This window comes from Homo sapiens, chromosome 11, assembly GCF_000001405.40.
Source record: "Homo sapiens chromosome 11, GRCh38.p14 Primary Assembly".
NCBI classification, from domain to species: domain Eukaryota; kingdom Metazoa; phylum Chordata; class Mammalia; order Primates; family Hominidae; genus Homo; species Homo sapiens.
This window is the reverse complement of record NC_000011.10, coordinates 85706461-85733496: the sequence shown is the minus strand read 5'-3', so window position 1 is coordinate 85733496 and position 27036 is coordinate 85706461. Positions and strand designations below refer to the sequence as shown.

General features: G+C 38.4%; 1 protein-coding gene across 73 annotated transcripts in view; it reads left to right on the top strand.

The window, feature by feature from the left end:
* SYTL2 (synaptotagmin like 2) overlaps positions 1–27036 on the top strand; it is a 160642-nt gene that overhangs the window by 121374 nt on the left and 12232 nt on the right. For 16 of the 73 annotated variants that reach the window (NM_001394471.1, NM_001394462.1, NM_001394458.1 and 13 more), the window contains 7 exons: positions 5530–5601; positions 12538–12639; positions 14654–14707; positions 18990–19084; positions 22265–22384; positions 23997–24166; positions 25966–26068. In NM_001394471.1, the coding sequence (NP_001381400.1) occupies positions 5530–5601; positions 12538–12639; positions 14654–14707; positions 18990–19084; positions 22265–22384; positions 23997–24166; positions 25966–26068 (716 nt within the window). Of the gene's footprint in view, positions 1–5529; positions 9466–12537; positions 12640–14402; positions 14708–15966; positions 16015–18989; positions 19085–22264; positions 22385–23996; positions 24167–25346; positions 25460–25965; positions 26069–27036 lie in introns of those variants that run through there. The other 57 variants (NM_001394453.1, NM_001394469.1, NM_001289608.2 and 54 more) reach the window with 26 other exon arrangements.

The window sequence follows — 27036 nt, the reverse complement described above, 5'->3', positions numbered from 1 at the left end:
ATGCCACTGGAAATGTTTATACCTCTTAATGGGCTTGGAGATTTTCCTCAATCACCAATAACTAAAAGTACCAGGATAGCACAGTTTCTGGCCCATTATGCTTTACCCTAAAATATATATAACCATATCAACTATTTAAACAAATGACAATGTTTTTAGTTAAATCAAGGTGGAATAGAGTAAGAAAGACTTCCTTTCATTAGCTAATACCTTTGTACAGGGTAAATGTATTATTACTCACCTAATGCAAATTTATTAATTACAATTTTACCAGACTTTGGTTTCTCTTGTAATCTCAAGAGAACCTTCACTTTCTTAGTGTCAAAGGATGGGAAACTAGACTTTGAGGCCTTACTATGCAAAAGCCTCAGACTTTGGCCTGCTCAGGCCTCCAGCCATTTGTTCTTAGGCTTTAAAAGCCCTGAAGGCACTTTCTCCTTCAGCTTGTGTGAGTTGAGAGGCAATGAGGGTACTGCTTTTCCCTGCTAACTAGCCTTGTCTTGAAGGTCTTACCACTCTCAGGGGATGCCTGAAACTACTTTTATACCTATATGATCATGAAGTAATCATAATGTTTTATAATCATAATTTCTTATGTTTTTTAAAAAAACAGAAACAATAGAAAAAAACATGCTGTGTACCCTCTGCCATCTTCAGTAAGCCTGCATCGAACCCTATGATAGTTTCTTTATAGTCAGGATAATTCACAATAGCAACAATCAAGTTTGCTTTTTTAAAAAAAATTTTTTTTAAATATATACTTTAAGTTCTGGGATACATGTGAAGAACGTGCAGGTTTGTTACATAGGTATACACATGCCATGGTGGTTTGCTGCACCCATCAACCTGTCACCTACATTAGGTATTTCTCCTAATGCAGTCCCTCCCCACCCCCTGCCCACCCCAACAGGCCCTGGTGTGTGATGTTTCCCTCCTTGTTTTCCGTGTGTTCTCATTGTTGAACTCCCACTTATGGGTGAGAACATGCGGTGGTTGGTTTTCTGATCTTGTGATAGTTTGCTGAGAATGATGGTTTCCAGCTTCATCCATGTCCCTGCAGAGGACATGAACTCATCCTTTTTTGTGGTGGCATAGTATTCCATGCTGTATATGTGCCACATTTTCTTTTTCCAGTCTATCATTGATGGGCATTTGGGTTGGTTCCAAGTTTCTGCTGTTGTGAACAGTGCTGCAGTAAACACACGTGTGCATGTGTCTTTGTAGTAGAATGATTTATAATACTTTAGATATATACCCAGTAATGGGATTGCTGGGTCAAATGGTATTTCTGGTTCTAGATCCTTGAGGAATCACCACACTGTCTTCACAACAGTTGAACTCATTTACACTCCCACCAACAGTGTAAAAGCGTTCCTATTTCTCCACATCCTCTCCAGCATCGGTTGTTTCCTGACTTTTTAATGATCACCATTCTAACTGGAGTGAGATGGTATCTCATTGTGGTTTTGATTTGCATTTCTCTAATGACCAGTGATAATGAGCTTTTTATCATGTTTGTTGGCTGCATAAATATCTTCTTTTGAGAAGTGTCTGTTCATATCCTTCACCCACTTTTTAATGGGGTTGTTTTTTCTTGTAAATTTGTAAATTTTCTTGTAAATTTAAGTTCCTTGTAGATTCTGTATATTAGCCCTTTGTCAGATGGATAGATTGCAAAAATTTTCTCCCATTCTGTAGGTTGCCTCTTCACTCTGATGATAGATTCTTTTGCTATGAAGAAGCTCTTTAGTTTAATTAGATCCCGTTTGTCAATTTTGACTTTTGTTGCCATTGCTTTTGGTGTTTTAGTCATGAAGTCTTTGCCCATGCCTATGTCCTGAGTGGTATTGCCTAGGTTTTCTTCTAGGGTTTTTATGGTTTTAGGGCTTACATTTAAGTCTTTAATCTAGTTGAGTTAATTTTTGTATAAGGTGTAAGGAAGGGGTCCAGTTTCAGTTTTCTGCGTATGGCTAGCCAGTTTTCCCAACACCATTTATTAAATAGGGAATCCTTTCCCCATTGCTTGTTTTTGTCAGTTTTGGCAAAGATCAGATGGTTGTAGATATGTGGCATTATTTCTGAGGCCTCTGTTCTGTCCCATTGGTCTATATATCTGTTTTGGTACCAGTACCATGCAGTTTTGGTTATGGTAGCCTTGTAGTATAGTTTGAAGTCAGGTAGCGTGATGCCTCCAGCTTTGTTCTTTTTGCTTAGGAACGTGTTGGCTATGCAACCTCTTTTTTGGTTCCACATGAAATTTAAACTTTTTTCTAATTCTGTGATGAGAGTCAATGGTAGCTCTGTGGGGATAGCATTGAATCTATAAATTACTTTGGTCAGTATGGCCATTTTCATGATACTGATTCTTCCTATCCATGAGCATGGAATGTTTTTCCATTTGTTTGTGTCCTCTCTTATTTCCTTGAGCAGTGGTTTGTAGTTCTCCTTGAAGAGATCCTTCACATCCCTTGTAAACTGGATTCCTAGGTATTTTGTTCTCTTTGTAGCAATTGTGAATGGGAGTTCACTCATGATTTGGCTCTTTATTATTGGTGTATAGGAATGCTTGTGATTTTTGCACATTGATTTTGTATCCTGAGACTTTGCTGAAGTTGCTTATCAGCTTAAGGAGATTTTGGGCTGAGACGATGAGGTTTTCTAAATATACAATCATGTCATCTGCAAAAAGAGACAATTTGACCTCCTCTCTTCCTATTTGAATACCATTTTTTTTTTTCTCTTGCCTGATTGTCCTAGCCAGAACTTCCAATACTATGTTGAATAGGAGTGGTGAGAGAGGGCATCCTTGTCTTGTGCCAGTTTTCAAAGAGAATGCTTCCAGCTTTTGCCCATTCAGTATGATATTGGCTGTGGGTTTGTTATAAATAGCTTTTATTATTTTGAGATACGTTCCATCAATACCTAGTTTATTGAGGGTTTTTAGCAAGAAGGGCTGTTGAATTTTTTCGAAGGCCTTTTCTGCATCTATTGAGATAATCATGTGGTTTTTGTCATTGGTTCTGTTTACGTGATGGATTACGTTTATTGATTTGCATATGTTGCACCAGCCTTTCATCCCAGGGATGAAGCTGACTTGATCATAGTCGATAAGCTTTTTGATGTGCTGCTGGATTCTGTTTGCCAGTATTTTATTGAGAATGTTGGTATCAATGTTCATCAGGGATATTGGTCTGAAATTTTCTTTTCTTGTGTTGTCTCTGCCAGGGTTTGGTATCAGGTTGATGTTGGCCCCACAAAATGAGTTAGGGAGGAGTCCCTCTTTTTCTGTTGTTTGGGATAGTTTCAGAACGAATGGTACCAGCTCCTCTTTGTACCTCCGGTAGAATTCGGCTGTGAATCCATCTGGTCCTGGACTTTTTTTGGTTGCTAGGCTATTAATTGCTGCCTCCATTTCTGAACTTGTTATTGGTCTATTCAGGGATTCAACGTCTTCCTGGTTTAGTCTTGGGAGGGTGTGTGTGTCCAGGAATTTATCCATTTCTTCTAGATTTTCTAGTTTGTTTGCATAGAAGTGTTTATAGTATTCTCTGATGGTGGTTTGTATTTCTGTGGGATCAGTGGTGATATCCCCTTTATCATTTTTTATTGTGTCTATTTGATTCTTCTGTCTTTTCTTATTAGTCTGGCTAATGGTCTATCTATTTTATTGATCTTTTCAAAAAACCTGAACCTGCTCCTGGATTCATTGATTTTTTGAAGGGTTTTTTGTGTCACTATCTCCTTCAGTTCTGCTCTGATTTTAGTTATTTCTTGTCTTCTGCTAGCTTTTGAATTTGTTTGCTCTTGCTTTTCCAGTTTTTCTAATTGTGATGTTAGGGTGTTGATTTTAGATCTTTCCCACTTTCTCCTGTGGGCATTTAGTGCTATAAATTTCCCTCTAAACACTGGTTTAGCTGTGTCCCAGAGATTCTGGAATGCTGTGTCTTTATTCTCATTGGTTTCAAAGAACTTATTTATTTCTGCCTTTATTTCGTTATTTACCCAGTAGTCACTCAGGAGCAAGTTGTTCAGTTTCCATATAGTTGTGCAGTTTTGAGTGAGTTTCTTAATCCTGAGTTCTAATTTGATTGCACTGTGGTCTGAGAGACCGTTTGTTATTATTTCTATTCTTTTGCATTTGCTGAGGAGTGTTTTACTTCCAATTATGTGGTCAATTTTAGAATAAGTGCGATGTGGTGCTGAGAAGAACGTGTATTCTGTTGATTTGGGGTGGAGAGTTCTGTAGATGTCTTTTAGGTCCACTTGGTCCAGAGCTTAGTTCAAATCCTGAATATCCTTGTTAATTTTCTGTATCGTTGATCTGTGTAATATTGACAGTGGGGTGTTAAAGTCTCCCACTATTACTGTGTGGGAGTCTAAGTCTCTTTGTAGGTTTCTAAGAACTTGCTTTATGAATCTGGGTGCTCCTGTATTGGGTGCATATATATTTAGGATAGCTAGCTCTTCTTGTTGCATTGATCCCTTTACCATTATGTAATGCCCTTCTTTGTCTTTTTGATCTTTGTTGGATTGAAAACACGGTTCTTAAACCCCAGTATGCAGAACAATCACTAGAATAGCTGTTAGTAAAGATTACTGTGCCCAATCTTCAGAAATTCTTCTCATTCAATACATCAATAGTAAGGCCCAGGAATGGAAATATCCTCATTTTCCCATTTAAATATTGTGGATAAAATTCCTTGTTTAGTCTTATTTGAAAGTTATTTTTCTAACTCCTGAAATCACTTAAGTCTGTGCTTCTCAAACCTGGGTTTAAGCCCCCTCTAGGGTTTATGATATGTGCCAGGGGATGGGTGAAGTCATAAAATCGGCATGGCATATCTTCCTGGAGTGTCAGTTTTATACAAAGATTTAAAAGTAAGAGAAAATTAACATTTAAAATGTAACATGGAGCTGGGTGTGGTGGCTCATGACTGTAATCCCAGCACTTTCGGAGGCTGAGGTGAGTGGATCATGAGGTCAGGAGTTCGAGACCAGCCTGGCCAATATGGTGAAACCCCGTCTCTACTAAAAATACAAAAATTAGCTGAGCGTGGTGGTGCATGGCTGTAATCCCAGCTATTTGGGAGGCTGAAGCAGAAGAATCGCTTGAACCTGGGAGGCGGAGGTTGCAGTGAGCCGAGATCCCGCCACTGCACTCTGGCCTAGGCAACAGAGCGAGACTCCATCTCAAAAAAAATAATAAAATAAAATGTAACATGAAACAGAATGCAAAATTCACATGTATTTTTAAAATAAAGAAGGAACTACAAAGAAATTTTTCGGTTAGGTCTATACCATGTACTTCCAGGTCTCTACATTTCCTTTCCTTTACTGTCATAGGGCACCTTTGGTAGAATACCTTAATTAGGACAACTTACATTTTAACCCCTGAAAAATGCTGGTATAAACAGCTATTGGTATAGAAAGTGCAAATACAAAGTGCTTTTATAAAGATGATGATGTGAATGATTAACAGTTCTTTAAGCATGCTCTTTTCTTATTTAGAAAAGTATTTCTATGTTGCAGATGAACTGTCTCATTGTGTTGAGCCTGAGCCATCTCAGGTGCCAGGTGGCAGTTCTAGAGACCGTCAGCAAGGTAAGCCCCCTCCTCTCCCGGCTCTAAAAGCTAAGACATCTTCACGTTCTGGTCCATATGCCACTGAGATAAAGAAGTCAACTGATGATTCCATATTTAAAGTTCTAGACTGGTTTAACCGAAGTTCTTATTCAGATGACAATAAGTCATTCCTCCAACATCCCCGAGGAATAGAGTCCAAAGAAAAAACAGACTCAAAATCACAGGTTGCTGTTGACTTGGTGACAGATGACACTACTTTAAGAGAAAATGGCTCAAAGACCCTATCACCCAGCAAAATTGAATTGAAGCCTGTGAGATCTGACTCACCATTCCAAGCAGAGGGAGATATGCTGGTTTCTGAAAGTTGCCAAGATAATAATGTGAATATCAAATCCAAATTCATGAATTTGTCCCAAAAAGGCACCCCAAAGGAAGGCCCAGGTATATTGCAACCATTTGAAAGCTATGGCACCCCAAGTCAAGGGAGTAAAAATATGGACTATAGCCAAGATTCAAAAAGCCCAGGAAAAGGGAATGGGGCATCTCCTTCAAATAGTAACTATTCCTACAGTGTTCTCAAGGAATCTGATGCAGAAAACCAAGTTCCATGCAACACTAATAATATTGGCAACTTGGGTGAAGAAGAACCCAAGTTTCATGCTCATGAAGAAAATAGAGGACACTCAGAAGTGAATTTTGACTCTTCAACAGTTGTCAAAGAACCAGGTTTGAAAGATAACATGAATGCAGAGAGAAAGAGCAAAGTAGGAAATACCTATATCCTGAAAGCCTCCTTAGAGCCAGAGAATATTAAGTCAACACCTGGGGTTGCCAACAATGGCTCTCCTTGGAAGAAGCCTGAGGTCCAATTCCAGCAAGAAGCTGGTGAGGTTCCCAAGAACCAAGTGCAGAGAGAGAAATACAAAAGAGTGAGTGACAGAATATCCTTTTGGGAAGGAGAGAAAGCTGGTGCTAAGATAACTCATGAAAAACCCACATCTTCATGTAGCCAGGAACAACCTTCTGCTAAAGCATATCAGCCTGTGAAGAAGTCACAGGGTGTATCATCCATGGACAGTTTATCTACAGACCAGAGTGAATATAATCAGGCCATTCCCAAACGAGTGGTCTTAGATGAGGATGATCAAGCATCCCAGCTCTCCAATTCTTATTCCTCAAATAAATCTAAAGAGACCAAGCCACAAATAGCAGGTCCATCCAGATACTATCTTTCAGCTGAGCAATCAGATAAAGTGTCTCTGTTTCAGAATAAGAAAAATGAGCCTATAAAAAGATCACAAGTGGCAGACAGTTTGCCTTCTAGAAGAAACATTACTTTACCAGCACTGCAACCTCCCTCAAATGTCGGGAGTGAACGACATGCTCCATTGGAGAAAGACAGACCTCTAGTTCGTGAATCAAATGCCAACTTTAAAGTTATGTCCCTAAAAGAAAGAATGGATGAACCCAATGCAGAACAGGTCTATAATCCCTCTCAGTTTGAGAATTTGAGAAAGTTTTGGGACTTAGAAGCTAATTCAAACAGTAAGGATAATGACAAGAATATTACCACCACAAGCCAAAAAAATTCTGCACCTTTTAATAGGCAGAAACACAAGGAATTCAGCGACATTAAATTATCAGGTAAAAATACCCATGAAGCAGAGGTGCTTCTAAGCCCAAAAAAAGTTATGGCAAGAGAGGAAATGGAGAAATTAAATTCAAAGGGCATACTCCAGGTGCTACCAGATGAAATCACATTTCCTTTGAGTCCACTTAGAAAGTATACTTATCAGTTGCCAGGAAATGAGTCATCAAAGGAAAATGTGGAAAAGAATACGGAAGGGATTGTTACTCCAGTGTTTAAGGAAGAAAAGGATTACTCAGAACAAGAGATTCAAGAATCCATAATAAAAACCAATGTTTTGTCTAAAGACTGCAAAGACACTTTTAATGACAGCTTGCAGAAACTGCTTTCAGAAACCTCAACACCAGCAATTCAACCCTCTGGTGGAAAAGTTCATGGAAAACAAGTGCTTGAACCAAGTGTTTCTGAAAATAGGACATGGCCTCAAAAAACAGATTTTGCTGATACTGAGGAAGAAGTCAAAGGACCTGAGAAGATCATTAATGAGCATGTTGACAAAACAGTAGTTCATCCAAAGGTTAAACGGAACTCTTTGACTGCTAGTCTAGACAAACTCCTGAAGGAAGCAACTGGAACTTCACCCTCTCCCTTGCAAGCCAAGTTGGCGCCTGTTATCACTGGAACCAACTCTAAGCTGGAAGAGGGGAGATTTTTTGGAAAAGGGATAGAACAGAGTCACAATACTTCAGCTGATAAGAGAGAAATACTAGCTCCTTTTCCAGTGAGAGATGAAACTTTTGGAAATACAGCTCTCCTCAAGAAAGCTGAAAGTGGTGAGTGCCAGCTAAGCACACAGAATTTGATTCAGATGGCTGCAGAAGATTCTCATCCATTGGATCCAACTTCCCAGCTTTCCAGAAAGGGTTCTTTTGGGGATGTGGCCAGCCCTCCCCAAGATATGCTTTTTCCCCAGGATGCTCATCTTGTTCCCCAGGCTAGGGTACACCCTTCTCAAACGGAAATTTCGGAGACTGTAGAGAAAGTCATTCTTCCACCCAGACCTGTATTGAATGATGTAAGTGCTGCATTACAGAAGCTGTGTGGAGAAGTATGGTTAAGTTATCCAGCTGGAAGGGAAGTAGGTCCTGGAGAAGTGAACCCAGAATTTCCTGAAGCAGTACAGCCAGTATGTAGCCCCCTAAATCCTCCAGGAGTGATATCACCATGGGCTACGATGGACACCATAGTTCCAGACAGGAAGGATTTTTATTCCTCCAATGTAGTTCCTGATAAAACTCATGAAGTTGGATCTTATTTAGCTGCCCAAATGTCTCCATCAGACCAGACGCTTAGCTCATTTGCTTCCATTGTTGCTCAATATGGCAAAGGCCTCCCTCAGGAAGTGGAAGAAATTGTGAGGGAAACAATTGTTCAACCCAAATCAGAGTTCCTCGAATTCAGTGCTGGCTTAGAAAAACTACTGAAGGAAGAAACTGAAACCTTCCCCTCAAAATATGAAAGTGATACAGGGAATCTTTCTCCATCAAAGTTAATAGGTAGTACAGAGGAGCCCAGGCGAGCCACTTCTGAATGCCATCCTGAGGAATTAAAAGAAACAGTAGAAAAGGCCGAGGCTCCGTTAATAACTGAGAGTGCTTTTGATGCTGGTTTTGAGAAACTTCTTAAAGAAATAACTGAAGCTCCTCCTTATCAGCCCCAGGTGTCAGTGAGAGAAGAAACTCACGAGAAGGAGTCCTCACAGTCAGAGCAGACCAGGTTCTTGGGGACAGTGCCCCATTTTTACAGGGCAGCCTCACAGACCTCTGAAATGAAGGATAAAAGTAATGGTTTGGAATCTCAAGTCAACCAATGTGATAAAATGTTGGGAGGAGACGCACTTGTGACTGATTTATTGGTAGATTTTTGTGGTTCCAGAAGTGGAGTTGAGATCCCTAGAACCCCACAACTTTATGTGGCTCATGAAATAGGGACCATTAAAACTGTAACCCCCCCAGAGGACAGGGACAGTGAAAGTGGGGTTGCAGGGGGACAAGGGACTCTTCAGGAACCTGGCTTTGGAGAGGCTTCTGAAGCAATTAGTGTGTCCAGAAATAGGCAACCCATTCCTCTCCTGATGAACAAAGAAAACTCTACAAAAACAAGTAAAGTTGAATTGACTCTAGCATCGCCATATATGAAACAAGAGAAAGAGGAAGAAAAAGAAGGTTTCTCTGAGTCTGATTTTTCAGATGGAAACACCAGTTCTAATGCAGAGAGCTGGAGAAATCCTTCCAGTGAGCATTTAAAATTTTTTAACTCACAGTGAGTCTGCTTTATGGAATGCTGATGTAAAGGATGATTTTTTTTAATTGGGATTAATTTGATATTCTTAAATGATGTTAAATTCTTCTTACCACTTCTGTGTTCCTGAGACTTTCTTAATTAAAAAAATTATTTATATTTTTTAATCAAATGCATTACATAATTCTTAAATGATGTTAAATTCTTCTTACCACTTCTGTGTTCCTGAGACTTTCTTAATTAAAAAAATTATTTATATTTTTTAATCAAATGCATTACGTAAAACAGCTTTCCTATAAGGCTGTTTCAGAGTCTGAGTTGACTTCTCTTTAATCTACCTATAGAACTTTTAGGTTTCAAAAAATACTTTTTAAATGACTTTTTGGGTTTGGAAAGTACCTTTAATACATTTAAGCTAGTTTTCCTCCTGGAAATATTTAGAATTTCTTCCTTAATTGGCAACCTTTATAGAAGTCTGGTAAGATTTGTCGCAAAGATGTGCCACAGATGGACACAAATTTCCCATTCGGGAGCAATATCTTACCACAGTGGTGGCTAAATGCTAGGGACAAAATACAAGGCCGGAACTTTCCTTCCCTCAGATACCTTGTGCTGTGGTGTTTTGTTGCCACTTTCTCCCTCTCATTTTCAATTATATGCACAATCTTCCCTTTCTAGAGTATGACTTTGGCCAGATGACTCACCTGATGCCACCTAAGGGCATTGCCTGGCCAGGTACATTTCTCTGGCTCCAGCCTTGGCTAAGTTGATGACCTGAGTCGATCTCCACATTCATCTACATGAACGTGGGGGCGTTGGTTTTGGCGGCCAGGCTGTAAAATGTAGGGCTTGTCTCAGTTTGCTATTTAATCAACATGTGGACATTTTAGCAGAGAAACCCCAGAGCAAATAGGAATGAGAAGCTACCTGATTAAAATGATGAAATGATAGAGAATGTTTTTTGGCTGGGACATTTTAACCAAAGTTGCACAACTGATGCTGATTGCCTTCCTTGTAGTTTAGTAGAATTTGTCATTTGTTTAGCTCCTTTTCGTTCCAGTGAAAATAGATAAGCTTTACTGAGTGGCTTACTTTGAGGTGTGGACTCCTTTGTAAGTAGCTATAGGGTCTCTTCTTGAACACTGACCAAAGAATCCACCTTTAATCCTATTCAGTTAAGTTGAAGCCCCTCTAAAAAATTTTGTTGTTAATAAAAAAAAGAAAGAAATTGAAATATCAATCTCTAAAACCATACATATTTATTTATAAATCTCTAATTAAATCTCTAAATTTATTTAATCTCTAAAGTAAATAAATTTAATTAATTAATAATTAATTAATGTAATGGCAAGAATAAAGCCAGCATGTTAAACTTGTTGAGGTAGGCTCTTACTAAACTGCCCATGAGTTGCTAGTGTAAACTGACCCACAGGAGAAGGAGCGCTTGCAAATTTGCAATTATGTTAGAGACTATCATCTAATGTGTATCCCAGCATAACTGACTGAATAGTAAAAAGCCTATCTAAAAAGGCAGCGTTAAATAATCACCTAGGCTGGGCACGGTGGCTCACGCCTGTAATCCCAGCACTTTGGGAGGCCAAGGCGGGCAGATCATGAGGTGAGGATATCGAGACCATCCTGGCTAACATGGTGAAACCCCATCTCTACTAAAAAATACAATAAAGTAGCCGGGCGTGGTGGTGGCTGTAGTCCCAGCTACTCGGGAGGCTGAGGCAGCAGAATGGTGTGAACCCTGAGGCGGAGCTTGCAGTGAGTCGAGATCACGCCACTGCACTCCAGCCTGGGCTACAGAGCAAGACTTCATCTCAAAAAAAAAAAAAAAAAAAAAAAAAATCACCTAAACAGAGCCCAGAGAAGACATTTTAGAATAACAAGCCAATTAAGAAGTATCAAATGGTATAGTCATGATTTTAATTTAGGTTTATATACTCTAACCTAAATTATTATTTTAAAGCAAACTGCAGTGGGGGTGGGGTGAAAAATGAAGAGAAACCTACTATAAGGGTACTGTAATTTTGGGGAGCAAGCTAACACATTTGACTTGCGGCTGAGCTCTTAACTAAGCAATACCTCAGTATGCTCCTTTGGGAAAAATTAAAGGTTCAGTAGTCAAATACTTTTGGAAATGCTGGGCCATTATGCACAGAGAAGGTCCGCAGTAAGGAACATTTTAAATTTGAACAGAGAACATCCAAATCTAATTCATCTTAGAATCCATTTGCTATGGAATGTACTAGGCAGAACTGGAATGTATTTCAGGAAATTATTGTCTAGAGAAGTGGTTCTTAAATTAATTGATTCCTTAATCGAATCACTCATTGATTCAGCAAATATTTTGAAGTGTTTATTTCCAGCCACTGTTCTAGGCACTGAGAATACAGCAGTAATAAATGTCAGTACTTAAGCTTATTCATGATGCAGCCATTCCTTTTATAAAATAACGGCATTAGTAAATGATAGAGGCCTCCCTCCCGCAACTTTAAAATGCCTTACTAAAATAAAAATTTGACTATCCCATGTTATTTCCCAACATTTCATTGGAAATTATACTAGATCATGAAACCCAGAAAGTCTACAACCTTTGATCTGGAGAATGCACTCATATGTGTACCCAATTATACACAGATGTTAAACATCTGAATCCTGCCTTCCACGGTTTTGAATTAATTTTATTAATGCTCCTAGAAGTATTTCATGGCTGTCTTCAAAAGCTAGAATGTTAAATGGGAAGAGTCAATGTCTGGCATAGGACAAATCATATGTCTAAAATAGGAGTAAACAACTAAGAGATCACATTTCTATTAATGTGGTAATCTTGTTTTTGTAGGGTTTACGTTTGCAAATATTTCTTGACCAGGAAAATTATGTTTAAGAGCATATTAATAGTGGAGAAATTTTATTTTCTTCTGTGAAATAAGTGCTTCTTAAAGTAGAAACTCATAGCATAATGTCTCTTTTCAGCCTACCATTTCTATGTCCATATGTTAGAGGATTTTTTTTTTTTTTGGTATTGTGCAGTGTTCATCGATTTTGTTTTATAACAGGTTCAGAAGAAGAACCCAGTCCTGTTTTGAAAACTTTGGAAAGGAGTGCCGCTAGGAAAATGCCTTCCAAAAGTCTAGAAGACATTTCATCAGATTCATCAAGTGAGAATAAAGTTCGCCTCACTGTTCATGCCCCATCTAAGCTTAAAAATGCCTATGTGCTCTCCTGTAGCCTCACTGCGTGCTGTTGTGCACTGCACCCTCTAATGGGGGCAGTTAACAGATGAAAATAACCTCTCCAAAGTGCGCTGAAGAGGCTCAACCTAAAGTGGCTGGAACTTTGCTTATAAAATAATATATTACATTTGGTTACTAAAACACTAGGTTTCCTTTAATTGAAGAATCCCAGTTTGAGTGTTTCTCAAGTACAGTGAGTTTCAAAGGATAGTGGTAGCTAGTAGTATTAGTGAAAATAGTCATAACTAGCATTTATTGAATATTATTTGCCAAAACGTGCCTAACAATTTTACATGTATTATCTCATTTAACCAGCACAAGCAACCCTATGAGAGGTGAATTATTGTTATCCAAATTTAAAGATGAGGAAAATGAAGCTCAGAAATGTGAAATGACCTTTTTAGTATTACACGGAAGATCTGGGACTCAAAATTAACAGGCTATTATCAAGAACATTTATGAAGGGACCACATTATATATGACAGCGTTGGATGTCCAGTGAATTTTGCATGATACGGAGTTGAATTAGTCCCTGGCTTCAAGGACTTTCCTTTCTCTTTTATCCCTTCTATTCTGTTCACACTTTTCTTCTAGATACTGGAACTATAAGCCCAAAACTACTTAACATGAAAGACTTTAGGTACACGATTCCCCACTGGCAGCTGCTTTAATGGTGAAGGATTTCTTGAGTACTAGCAGAAAACATAATATATAAAGAGAGTTGTGTGCTAGACAAATGGACTAAGAAACCATGATTTCTTGGGGTTTTGTTCTTGCTATTTTCAAGCTAAAATGCACCCCTGGGATTGCAGATGGTCATAAGAAAAATTATCAAGTGAAAAGTTAACCACTGCCAAACTCATATGATTGAAAATTGGCCATTGTTATGTTTAGAATATTTTTTGTGCATTTGCAATTAAGAATAAAAAGTCAGAATTTAAAAATGAAAAAAAGAAAAGAAAAAGCCACTTCACCAAACATTTCCTAAAATTCACAGATTCCCAGGGGTTTGAAGACAGTATTCCCAATTTGGAATGTAGTCCTGACTATCCCAAGGATCTTGGAATCTCAGGGTTAGAAGGGATCTTAAAAATCACCCATTTTAACCTCCCCTCAATGCAGGAATTCTCTCTAAAGCCTCCTCAACAGGCGGCCAACCCCCATATCCGCCTGAATGCTTCCAGAGAAGGCGAGTCGAATCCTTTGTTGGACAGCCCTGATTGTTTTTCCTGATGTTGGTGATGGGCCTTGAGAAAAAGAAAAAAAGAAAAAAAAAATCTCAGAACAATTGGCCCATTTAGCAAACCTCTTGCCTGTGAAACATGGGGCTATTTCCATGGTGCAGCTTTAAAGTACTCAGGAATGTATAGGGTTAAAAAAAAATCACCATCAGCTGACGGGTATTCCTGCACGCTCCCTTCCAAATACTGATACCCACTCTCACACTAGCCTGCCAAGATTCCACTTAGCAGCTGGTCCCCAGTTACATCTCTTCAGTTGACTTCCCAAGCAAGCCTCCCAGAGGCATATGTGAATGATGATGCACACACACAAATATTTGTTAATGACCATGGGTTTGGGAAGGTGTTAGTCATGGCTAGCATCATACCCTTTACAGAAGAATAGAGAGGCTGTTGCAGCCCCGTGCTTTCTCCTGCTGCTGGCCGATTGCTTGCTCTGAACTAACCCTCTAACCCTTGGGAGTCTGTGTGCAGCAGTGATGTGAGCTGCATCCGGGCTGAAATGGGAGCTCCCGCTATGGCACTGGCTCAAGGAGCTAATCTAAAGAGAAAGTATTTTGGGGAAGACATCTTGGTTGCACCCCTCATTGCATCTTGACTAATTGCTTCCAACTCCGGGGGCTTCCAGGGACAATCTCATTGTTCTTTTCTCTCCAAGGGTCAGCCATGTTAACCATTTGTTAATTTCTTCTGAACAGATCAAGCAAAAGTAGATAATCAGCCAGAAGAATTAGTGCGTAGTGCTGAAGATGGTAAATATCTTTATGTATTTGCGTGTCTGTCTTTGTATTAACTTCTGGGGTGATTTGGGCAGTCTCCGGGACGCAGCTGTTGGGTAAACAGAAGAACGTCATTTGCCACTATGTGGTGAATAGTGCCTAAGTTACTATAAAACAGTTCTGATTTGGTACATTTAATATAGTTTGTATTCTTAAGGCTTCTTCTGGTGATACTGTCATGAGGATCTCATCAGAGACCCTTGTGAAGCAAGGGTTTCTATAAATAGAAAATTGTATTTCTTTGGATGTGAGCTGATTTTTGCTACTCTGACTTGCAGAACTCTTTGTAAAGGCAGGAAGAGTGGAGTGAATTCCTGGGTTAAGTTATTCTTCTGTTTGATTCTCAAGTCTCAGCATTTAGATCTCTCTGGGCACAACTGGTAAAATCTTAAATTCAAAGGAAAGAGTCCCAGAACAAGGGTGGGAAATCGTGCCTCTGCTTATATAAATAACTAAATATAGACAGAGGGTGAAGTTGATTCTGAATATAATGGAGCCAGAAGATCTTGAAGCTTGTCAGTGGATCAGGTATTACTTGGCTCTGTTATAAGATGAATAGTATAGTGGTGCCTTGGTTGAGGGAGAGACAGAAATGAGTCTGATTTTTATATTGCAGAATTTATGCAAATGTATAATTTGTATTTGCATGCTGGATTTTATTTACTTGTTGTTAAATTTGCCTTCACTATAATCATAAAAATGTGTACTCACTGAGCTTTCCCATATAAATGCAGCAACAGAGCTCCTTAAAGGTCATTCTTTACTTTTATGTAATCGTTCTGTCTTTCTTATTTTATGTTTACAACAACCTCACTGAAGTTGATGGGGCAGGGATTTTTATCTTCATTTTGCTGATAAGAAAAACTCAGAGAAATTAGGTGACTTTTCTAAGATCCTATAGTTAGTCAGTCACTGGGAGGGCAGGAAATAGAATCTCAGCTTCATTACTCCTAGTCCAGTGCTCCTTCCCATTTTCCATACTGTGGTCTAGTGAATTACAGGAAGGATGCTCCGTATCTCTTTTGTTTGATCCCAGATTTTTAGTTGAACAGGAGACCTTAAAGAGGCTAATGAAGAAGAGTCACAGTGAGGAATGGATGAAAGCAAGATGAAAACCTGTCAGATGTATTCTGCTGTCTCAGTTGTGAAACTGACATTTGAGCTTTACTTTCATGTCTCTTTAATCCTTCTGTTAAAATGGTATTTATTCTCAATGTTGCCCTCCTGAGTAGATGAGAAACCAGATCAGAAGCCAGTTACAAATGAATGCGTACCAAGAAGTGAGTAGCAGGATCTTTCTCACAAATGACTAAACATTCCACTTTACATATTAAATATACTGAAATAACTAACCCCATTAATAACACAGTATTTATTATTGGCACTAAACTCCTGCAGCTTGCAAAGCTATTTCATTACGATAAGGGTTTTATTGAAAACATTTTACTATTGTCTGTGTTGAAAGAATGATTTGTGGTTCCACTGAGGGAGAGTTGTATATTAAATATATATATATATGTTATTGCTGATATTATTGTGCTTTTGTCAGTCTCTATGCTGTTTGAATCTCTGCTTAAAAGCAAGTTGGCACCTTCTGATTTCATTTGGTTTTTATGTTGCAGTATGATTTTGAGTATTGGATCTCTTGTGGCCTCTGTACGAAACTGTAGATGTGAATTCATTTATAACTTATTTGGACCTATGAAAGAACTGTTAGAGTATGTGCTTCTCTCCATATCCATAAAAGCAAATCTTATTATGCCCAGGGTTTAAACTCTGAGTTTCAAAACTGCCTTGAATGGTAAATGTTCTAAGTATAAACCAAGTGAACAAGTGAATCTAAGAAGTAAATGTATACCTGTGGTGACTAATGCCCATCTACTAATTAATGTCTATCATCAAGCAAAGATAATGTTTGTTCGATCTTTTCTGTTCAATCTTAAGATTACTCTACTTAGCTGTGACTACTATCTTAAGGACAAATAACACATTTAAAAAGTACTCAGATGGCCTAGTAAAGCATGCAGCTCTGTGTGTGTGTGTGTGTGTGTGTGTGTGTGTGTGTGTATGATTTTTTAGCTTCTTGGTTTCACTCTGTTTCATAAACCCTAGGCACTGGGGGTATGAAGATAATGATACACATGTCTACCCTCAGGGCCACAATATTTTAAATAATAATTTCCCAACAGTCTTTGGATATGCTAATAGGGCTTAATGAGGAAAGCAGCTAAACGGAGGAGCCATTAGATAGAAAACCAATGTGCTGATGGCTAAAAGTCAGTGACATGTAGTGGGAAACCTGAAACTTTGCTTATGAGGTCCTCCTGCCAGCAGTGAAGGTGCTGAACTTTGGCACATGACTTGACAAATTCTTAAGAACTGCCTAGGAAAGAAGAGAGTCCAGGCTTCAGCTCTTGTGAGTATGTGCTCTCTGTCTGACTACTGCAGATGAAACAAGCCTTCTGCCCCTAAGGGGTGTTAGGTAAAGGGGCTTTTCCAGTTACTTTTGAACTAGGACATATTTAATTTTGAGCATCTTATAATATCTTGCTATGTTTTGTTCAAAATTTAGTCTGTGGAGTAAAAGCAAAACACACATAGACATATATGCCTAAATATCTGTATCTTTATTCATGATCTCCTAATTGGCTTAGTTTATTGGTCAAGGCACATAGACTACTCCTGTGCTGAACTCTGGGTAAATTAATTTGTCCCTTTTTTGTGATATTTTCCAAAATGACTGTTAGTGCCTTTTCACTGGTAAAGAGTATATTCTTACCACAAAAATCAAATACATGATCCAAACACAAATGATGAAAGCCCATAAATCTAAAATTGATTACATTTGAGTAGTGGGTATAATTGAATTTGACCTTCATAGCATCATCCAACAATATACTTTGAAAATAGTAGGGTGCAATGTTATAACAAAAAAGTTTTTGCATTCTCATTGGACCATATTGTGGGACCTAATCTTACACTGCTACCAGTATAACTCTCCCTAATACACACACATTGTTGTTTCATGGGAAGTGATTAAAGTAGGTGTCATTTTAGTGAGACACCATAAATGCATTCTGATGTGCATTTACCTATGGGAGCCTAAGGATAGGTGAAAATTGTTATGTGAGCAAGGATATCTTTAGTACGTGTAGCTAAATTTTTAGTTTTTCCTTCATTAGATTTCTTTAAAGATGAATTTAATGTTTAAGCATGAATTTGAGTCTTTTGTGTTATGTATATAAATATAATTTGATTTTTACCTATTTTCTTAATATCTCTTATAATGATAAAGTCAATGTATCTGTTTCATTCACAATATAATTTAAGATTCTTTATCATATGATATTTATTAGATTAGAAAATACTTATATAGAGCTTACTCTGTGCTAGGCACTAAGTGCCTTGGAAAATATTAACTTATTCATTATAAGAGCTGTGATTCACCATAAGAAAAGCTTAGATGTTGTGATTCTTAGAAAAAGAAGAAAATAGTTTTCTAACTAGGTGTATGCAAATTAGGATTATAATTTATCCTCTTCTTGTACCTTCTACACATATACTTTCTATATCAGAAAGAAGACATATGCTACATTTTCTTATTAAATTCTTAGAGTACCCTAACTTTAACCATTCTAACTTTGCCTTGGGATATTGAAAATTCTGAATCAGTGAGGTATCTAAATAATTTATATTTTCAAAAAATAATGTTTATTTTATAATTCTGAGTGTAAAACACTATCAGAAAAGTAATCCTCATGCTCACTAAACAAACCTACTCTAAGACACTCAACAACCAGAACAGTTTTATTATTGAGTTGTGTACAAAAATCTTGACTGTCCAGATGAAATAGTTTTTCAGCCTGCAGTGTGTTAGTGATATATCTCAAGGAGATGAACCAATAAAGTACAGACTTTGTGGTCTGAAGCTCTGTTGTGAAAAAATAAGCTAAACCAATTCACACTGACAGTATAATTTGATTCAAGTGCAGCTCCAGTTCAATAAAAACTAATGTTTTTAAAATTAACTTTGTTTTGTATTTGGTTCAACTCCTTGCTAGTTCTCTCTCTATATAATTTATAAAAACTGCATGTTGCTAATCTCATGATCCTGTGCATGTGGACTACTCTGCCTTTAACTTTTTTACAAAAACATGTTTGTTCATAGATTAAATAAAAGTATGTTTTCAACTTAATGTCTAATGTTTTCTGACAATTGTAAGAATAATTTTGAAATGGAAATGCTGCTGTTTAGTTTCCACAGTGCCTACACAACCTGATAATCCATTTTCTCACCCTGACAAACTCAAAAGGATGAGCAAGTCTGTTCCAGCATTTCTCCAAGATGAGGCAAGTTTGTCTTTTGTACCTTCAGAAAAATGGAGACAGAGGGTTGGAATTGCTATGCCAAGGTTGGTGTGTTTGTATTCCACTGTGGCAGAGATCAAAGAGGTCAGAAGGACTGGCCCTTGCCTTTCAAGTCAATAGAAGTAGTGTTGTTCATCCTGGAACAGGGAAAGGCACATCTCATTTGACTCAAACAGTAACTCCTTTTGGTTAGTGAAGTCAAATTGCATAGATTTGGGAATGTGACTTTTGTTTCAAAGTTAGTACAAAATAAGAAATCCAGGAAGGTATATGAACTGATTATTCCTCTGTAGTTTGGAGTAGACTTGATTTGTGAAAACTTAATTTAGGCAGCATGACTAGTTTGAAAGTGTTTGTTAATAAAGTAACAATGACACATCAAGCTTTAAGGAGTATTTACTGGGTGCCAGGCACTTTACATATATCATTTAATCCTTCAACAACCCTAGGAGGCAGGCACCATCATTATCCCCACACATTACAGGTGAGGAAACTGAGACTAAGGGAGATTAACCTCACTCAGCTAGAAGGGGGTTCAACCAGGACTGGAGCACAGATCCAAGTTGCCTGCTGTTAATGACTATACTATATACTGTACGGTCTTAAGAAAGCACATGACTATAATTTACTATTCATTGAGTACCTAATATGTGCCAGGTACCTAATACTCATTCTGTCATCTCACTCTTACTAACTATATGTGGTAAGGACTATTTTCTTCATTTTACAAATGAAGAAAGAGCCGCAGAGAGGTTAAATAACTTTCCCCAAATCCAATAGCTACTGAAGAGTAGATCTAGGACTTTAACTCAGGTCCTTTGACTTAATTAAGATTCCATGTTCTTGCAGTCAGGTAGTTAGGAGCCTAAGCTTTGGAGCCAGATATCCCTAGTCCTGGTTATGATACTAATTTTCTGTGTGATCATGGACACATTCAGTACCTTCTCTGAGTCTGGTTTCCTTGCACCTACCACGTGAGGTTGTGGGGTATCGGTAGGATAATGCAGGGAAAACACATAGCACAGTGCTTGGCATATAATGAGTACCTGGTAAATGTTAGCTGCTACTGTTTGTAGTTTTGGTCTGATTTCTAACGGTGAAATAAAAGGCTTCATTATCAAGAATTCTCTTAGTAGATGGAATGTTGAGGAAAGCTCTGGGCAACACATAAATTATATTCTGTCACTGGCCTGGGCATCCTTTTGTCCATTCTTGGGCCTTTGATGAACTGTATCTGCAAATATTCAGCCCTTGCCTATGGTTAAGAGCACATGTTACAGTTTCCTTTGGAAAGAATCACTCATTCTTTGGAAGTAATTCATTAGCTAGAAGCCAACAGTAGGCATGCCATGCAGTTCAACCATATAATAATATGAGGCCGGGCATGGTAGCTTATGCCTGTAATCCTGGCACTTTGGGAAACTGAGACGGGCAGATCCCTTGAGGCCCAGGAGTTTGAGACCAGCCTGGCCAACATAGCAAAACCCTGTCTCTACTAAAAATTCAAAAAATTAGCCGGGCATGGTGGCTCATGTCTATAATCCCAGCTACTTGAGAGGGTAAGGCAGGGGAATTGCTTGAACCCGGGAGGCAGAGGCTGTAGTGAGCCGAGATTGTGCCACTGCACTCCAGCCTAGGCGATAGAGTGAGACTCTAATTGAAAAAAAAAGTGTGTGTGTGTGTGTGTGTGTGTGTGTGTATATGTATTTTCGAGGCAAATTATATAAGTTCCTGGTTTTTAATTTTTCTCCTTCCTTCAGTTTTAACCTGCTGTCTCATAGCTCCACACAGAAGAGAGTTCAAATCATCTGGGTTTGTGTATCAGAGATGCCAGAATTAAGCTCTATCATTTTGCATGGGGTATAGGGTTGAACTAGGTATTAAAGAAAGTGGAAATGCAATCAGGCCTTGCTCATCTGTTCCCTTTGAGACTTATCATCAGTCACATTTGTTGAGTGCCAGTTACATGTAAAACACCATTCCAGATCAACAAGGCAGAGTCCTATCCTTCCAATAATTCACTAATGATCTGATATACTAGGTAGAATGCAGTAGGCGCTAAAATAGAGGGAAATGACTATCAGCATGTGGGGAGAGAGTGTGACAACAGAGACATTTAAAAGATATGAATTTTTTTAATCCTTGAGAAAGGATTCTTATCCACGTAAAGCATTAATTTTGCTTTCCTTTAACTCCTTTATTAATCTGCATTACAATTGGCATCCATTATATTGATGCATAATTGCATGGTCCTGGAATATGCTGGCATGAACTAACTACTCCATAAAGGTGTCCCTTAACCCCTGGTGCCACTGAACTGTTCCATAAGCTCTCTAACCCTAAAAGGAGCTCACTCTGAATCATAAATTTTTAAAGCTACTATTTAATAAACTTTAGATTCAAATATAACAAAATTTGTTACTGTCACTTTTCTTTCTTGTCCCAGGTAAATACTTCCTCGGACATATTTAAAATAAATACCTGTATTTTACTTCTTTTTAAAAAATGTGTTAAAATCTAATGTGGGTAGAATGTATAATTTAATATACTTAACTCTAGGAACAAAAAGATAAGCATAATAACACAGGAATATGTAAGGGGAAGTTTAAAAATTTTAAACATTAAAAAATATATATATATGGCCTTGAGTTGAAACAGATGAGACTAGCATTTCTTTTTTCCTAGTTTAATAGTGTGTCAAGTAAAAGATTTGATTTTTAGAGAAGTTAGGGGCTGTGCTAATAAGAGGAATTAAACATGATGTTTTGGTTTTAACAGTAAATCTTTTTATTATCTGGGTAAAGTTAATTTCTCATATATACCAATAGAGTTCCCCAGGCAAATAAATATATAATATTAAAAGACTGGCAAGAAAGCTCACAATAGTGCTGTCTTCTGCAGCACTTTGGGAAAGACTACTTTGTAGGTGAAAAGAAATCACTTCGTTATTTTGGTAGCTAAGCACTGCCTTCCTCCTTAGGTGAGGTCAAGGCAGACCACCCACTCCATCCTGAATCCCATACCCTGGCAATTAGCACTAGCATCCTTTGACCTTGCGTAAATGTCAGTGGAATACCAAAATCTCATCTTTGCCTAAACAGAGATTCTGATCTTGACTCATTCTGAATTTAAATATTGTGCATATTATATGCTGTTTTGTAGAGTGATGACAGAGAAACAGATACAGCATCAGAAAGCAGTTACCAGCTCAGCAGACACAAGAAGAGCCCGAGCTCTTTAACCAATCTTAGCAGCTCCTCTGGCATGACGTCCTTGTCTTCTGTATGTAAACAAAGGCTCCATATTAATATCTCTCCGCGTCTCTGAACCTTGCTCTGACATGCTCATGCTCATTGTAAAACAGCCTCCTCCTGTATTTCTCAGGGCACAAACAGTTTCTCTAATCCATAATTAGCTTCTGGCTAGCTACATCTATCTTTTTTTTTTTAGACTAACGGGGTTCATATCCATCATAAACAAATCTTTGTGGGGTTTTTTGTTGTTGTTGATGTAAGTACTTCACAAATAAACTTAAATTGCCAAGAAGATGAACCACTAAATTTTTCTGTGCAACAAATGGGGTAACTATGATAAAATCTGCTTGTATCAGATATGCTTTTATATATGATTTGCAGGCATAGAATTGAACCTCTCTTTTAGTAATCCTGAGCAATCAATATACTGGTTGACATGAAAGAATATGAGAGGTAATTCCTTGCCTTTTAGAAGGCATCTGAGCAGCATTTTAAAAGGAAATATCCTTAAGTGTAGTTACTCAGATTTGATTTAAGGGAATCTAACTAATTTGACTTTACATAGAACTTCTTGCATAAGGTGAAGTTGTATGTGCATGTAGTATGTATGTAAAAATATATGTAAATATATCCACATACACTTATCTGAGTATCAGATGTGCATACACATACATATATTCACCCAAGTATGCTGAAGAAATGATAAAACTGTGCTTAAATTCTTGCTAGCCTTGTGTTTCTGAAACCTTTTTTAAAAACCTATTTAAATTGAGTTTCTGCTGATAAAAATCTAACATCTGCCTTTGGGAAGGTTTTAAACTCCCTTCATCAATCATCCATTTTCTACCCTTCCTGACCTCTAAAAGCGCATGGCTCAGTAAGCATTTTTCTAGATTCAGTGGATGGGTAACATGGTAAAATTCCTTTTTAGTGCCTTGGAAATTCGATACAGCAGTGTGTCACTATGATTAGAGTGTCTGGGTTTTCTCACATCTTCTTTCTTTTGGATTTTAAATATTAAGCATGCCAGAAAATGGATGCCTTTGAATGCCACCTAGCATAAAATCACCCTGCTTTGAAATGAGCCAGCATCTAAATAACATTGCATTTCACTTTTCATCTATGTCTTATAGGGAAAATTATTTAAAAACATTAGTCGGCTGGGCGCGGTGGCTCATGCCTGTAATTCCAGCACTTTGGGAGGCCGAGGTGGGCAGATTACTTGAGGTCAGGAGTTTGAGACCAGCCTGGCTAACCTGGTGAAACCCCATCTCTACTAAAAATATAAAAATTAGCTGGGCATGGTGGCGTGCGCCTGTAATCCCAGCTGCTTGGGAAGCTGAGTCAGGAGAATCGCCTGAACCTGGGAGGTGGAGGTTGCAGTGAGCCGAGATCAAGCCACTGCACTCCATCCTGGGCAACAGAGTGAGACTCTGTCTCAAAAACAAAATGAAACAAAAAACTCTAGTCATGTATATCATGTCAGGTTGTCTTTATAGATATGTCTTTATGCTATATTGAATTAACTGCTTTTATAAGCAAGCTAAAGAAATAATGCCAGCAGGGATTATATCCATGATCCTTGTGCTAGGTTTAAGAATGAGATAGAGACAAACACTATGTATTTCTGATGCTTTCAGGTGAGTGGCAGTGTGATGAGTGTTTATAGTGGAGACTTTGGCAATCTGGAAGTTAAAGGAAATATTCAGTTTGCAATTGAATATGTGGAGTCACTGAAGGAGTTGCATGTTTTTGTGGCCCAGTGTAAGGACTTAGCAGCAGCGGATGTAAAAAAACAGCGTTCAGACCCGTAAGTACATTTTAGAGTCACCTACCTTCTCTTAGTTCTCCAACTGTCAATCTTACAGGAATTGGAAGGAAATAAAGTAATCAAGAGGAGGGAGGGTATGTGTTAAGAGGAATGTTTGAAAAGTTGGGGGGAAATGCTGTTTTATTCTATAAATTCATATGTCAAACATTAAATTATAAAAATCACAGAGAAAGGCCGGGCACGGTGGCTCACGCCTGTAATCCCAGCACTTTGGGAGGCCGAGGCGGGCGGATCACAAGGTCAGGAGATCGAGACCATCCTGGCTAACATGGTGAAACCCCATCTCTACTAAAAATACAAAAAATTAGCTGGGCGTGGTGGCGGGCGCCTGTAGTCCCAGCTACTCGGGAGGCTGAGGCAGGAGAATGGCGAGGAGGCGGAGCTTGCAGTGAGCTGAGATCGGGCCACTGCACTCCAGCCTGGGCGACAGAGTGAGACTCCATCTCAAAAAAAAAAAAAAAAAAAAAAAAAATCACAGAGAAGCACAAAATGTTTCAACTTGGAAAGAACCTTTGGGGTCATCTTGTTCAGTTCCTTCATTTTACAGATAAGAACGCAAGGACCAGAGAAGACAAGTAACCCATATATGTGAATTCAGATAGAAGCAAAATGAGGAATGAGGACCTGAACCCATCTCTTTCCACCACACTCTCAAACTTTTTACAAAATTAGGGATACATGGGACACACTTCATAAAGCTCAGTGGTATAAAAATAGTTAAGACTCTAGAATGAGAGAATTTTCATATTTAAATTATATCTTACAGAACTTTAGGGGAAATTACTAAAATTATTGTTTTAAATCACAGGTTTAATTGCACTTCAGTTTTTTTTCTTTTTTTGCAAACGCTGAATGGTATTCCCTACTTATCCCTATACAGAAGTCTGATTCTTAATTATTTTGCTGAGACAAGTGCAATCCTTTTTTCTTTTATTCTTATTATAAAAACAACTGAGCTCAACATCCTTTATTTTTTTAACATTGAAGATAACTTGACTAGGTATTTACTAAGATTAATTTATTTCAAAAGACGGTAACAAAAACTTAAAAATACTGCAAGCACCAAAGCGTTTTCTCAGAGGGGAACAAACTAGGGGAACAAACAGATTTAAGCTCTATGCTGAAAGTGTGTTTTCTTTTTTTCTTTTTTTTTTTTGAGGTGGAGTTTCACTGTTGTTGCCCAGGCTGGCACGATCTCAGCTCACAGCAACCTTCGCCTCCCGGGTTCAAGCGATTCTCCTGCCTCAGCCTCCTGACTAGCTGGAATTACAGGCATGCATCACCACACCCAGCTAACTTTGTAGCTCTGTGTGTGTGTGTGTGTGTGTGTGTGGTTTTTTTTTTTTTTTTTTTGAGACCAGCCTGGCTCATGGGGTTTTTCCATGTTGGTCAGGCTGGTCTTGAACTCCCGACCTCAGGTGATCTGCTCACCTTGGCCTCCCAGAGTGCTGGGATTACAGGTGTGAGCCACCGTGCCTGGCCTGGAAGTGTGTTTTCTGCCCCTTTCCACCCCTGCATATTAGTTAAGGCCAAAGGAAAAAAGGAATGCAGGAAATGCCCGTTAAAAATCTTCAAAACAATATAAAATGATCAATTCCACTAAAACCCTTTACACATTTAAGTATAAAGGTATTGGTAGGAAAATTTGTTATTCACTGCTTTTCTCAGTGTCATGAAATAATTATTTCTGCTGTCAGTTTTCAATGTATTTAAAAAACTAGAGGTGGAAACATAACTTTTATTTTCTTTGACTTTGTCTGTTCAATTCTCCTTTTCAGATATGTAAAGGCCTATTTGCTACCAGACAAAGGCAAAATGGGCAAGAAGAAAACACTCGTAGTGAAGAAAACCTTGAATCCTGTGTATAACGAAATACTGCGGGTATCTATGAACTCTCTCTATAGGAAAATCCTAGATGGTGACCTGTTTACCATGTCTTCTTTGGGTAGTAGCTCTACAGGATAAAGTCAGTCACCAAGAGAGGAGAAGGAAGGGAATACAAATGTTCTGAGACTGTTTTGTTTGAGACAAAACAACCTGAATGTTGTATACGTTATTTCATTCACTCCCCATATATAAACTGCCAGGCTGGTATTGGTATCTGCATCTCACAGATGAGGCAAATGAAACTTGGAGAAATGAAGTAACTTATTTAAAAACACACAGCTTGGCTGGGTGAGGTGGTTCACGCCTGTAATCCCAGCAACTTTGGGAGGCCGAGGTGGGTGGATCCCTTGAGGTCAGGAGTTCAAGACCAGTCTGGCCAACATGGTGAAACCCTGTCTGTACTAAAAATACAAAAATGAGCCAGCATGGTGGCAGGCACCTGTAATCCCAGCTACTTGGGAAGCTGAGGCAGGAGAATGACTTGAACCAGGGAGGCGGAGGTTGCAGTGAGCCAAGATCACACCACTGCACTCCAGCATGGGTGACGAGTGAAACTCTGTCTCAAAAAACAAAACAACAAAACAAAACAAAAAACAAAAAAAACCCACAGCTGATAAAGTTGAGCATTGCAACCAGAATGATCTTATAAAAGCACAATTCTGATTATGCTATTTTTCTGCTTTCTATAACCCTTAGGGTCAAAGCCATCTTTCTTAACATGCACACCAGTCCCTTCACAACCTGAACTCCAGCCTCAACTTTCCTCTCTCATAGTCTTTGTTCCAGTCACCCTGAATTCTTTTCATTATTTTAAGGAAGTACATTTTCTCACAATTCTGTGAATTTCTGTTCCTTCAGGCTGGAATATTCTTCCACACATTATTTCCCTAACTGCCTCCTGTACTGTCTTAAATACCTCCTCTTATGAGGGGCTGTGCTTAACCCCTAAGTTCTCCTGCTGT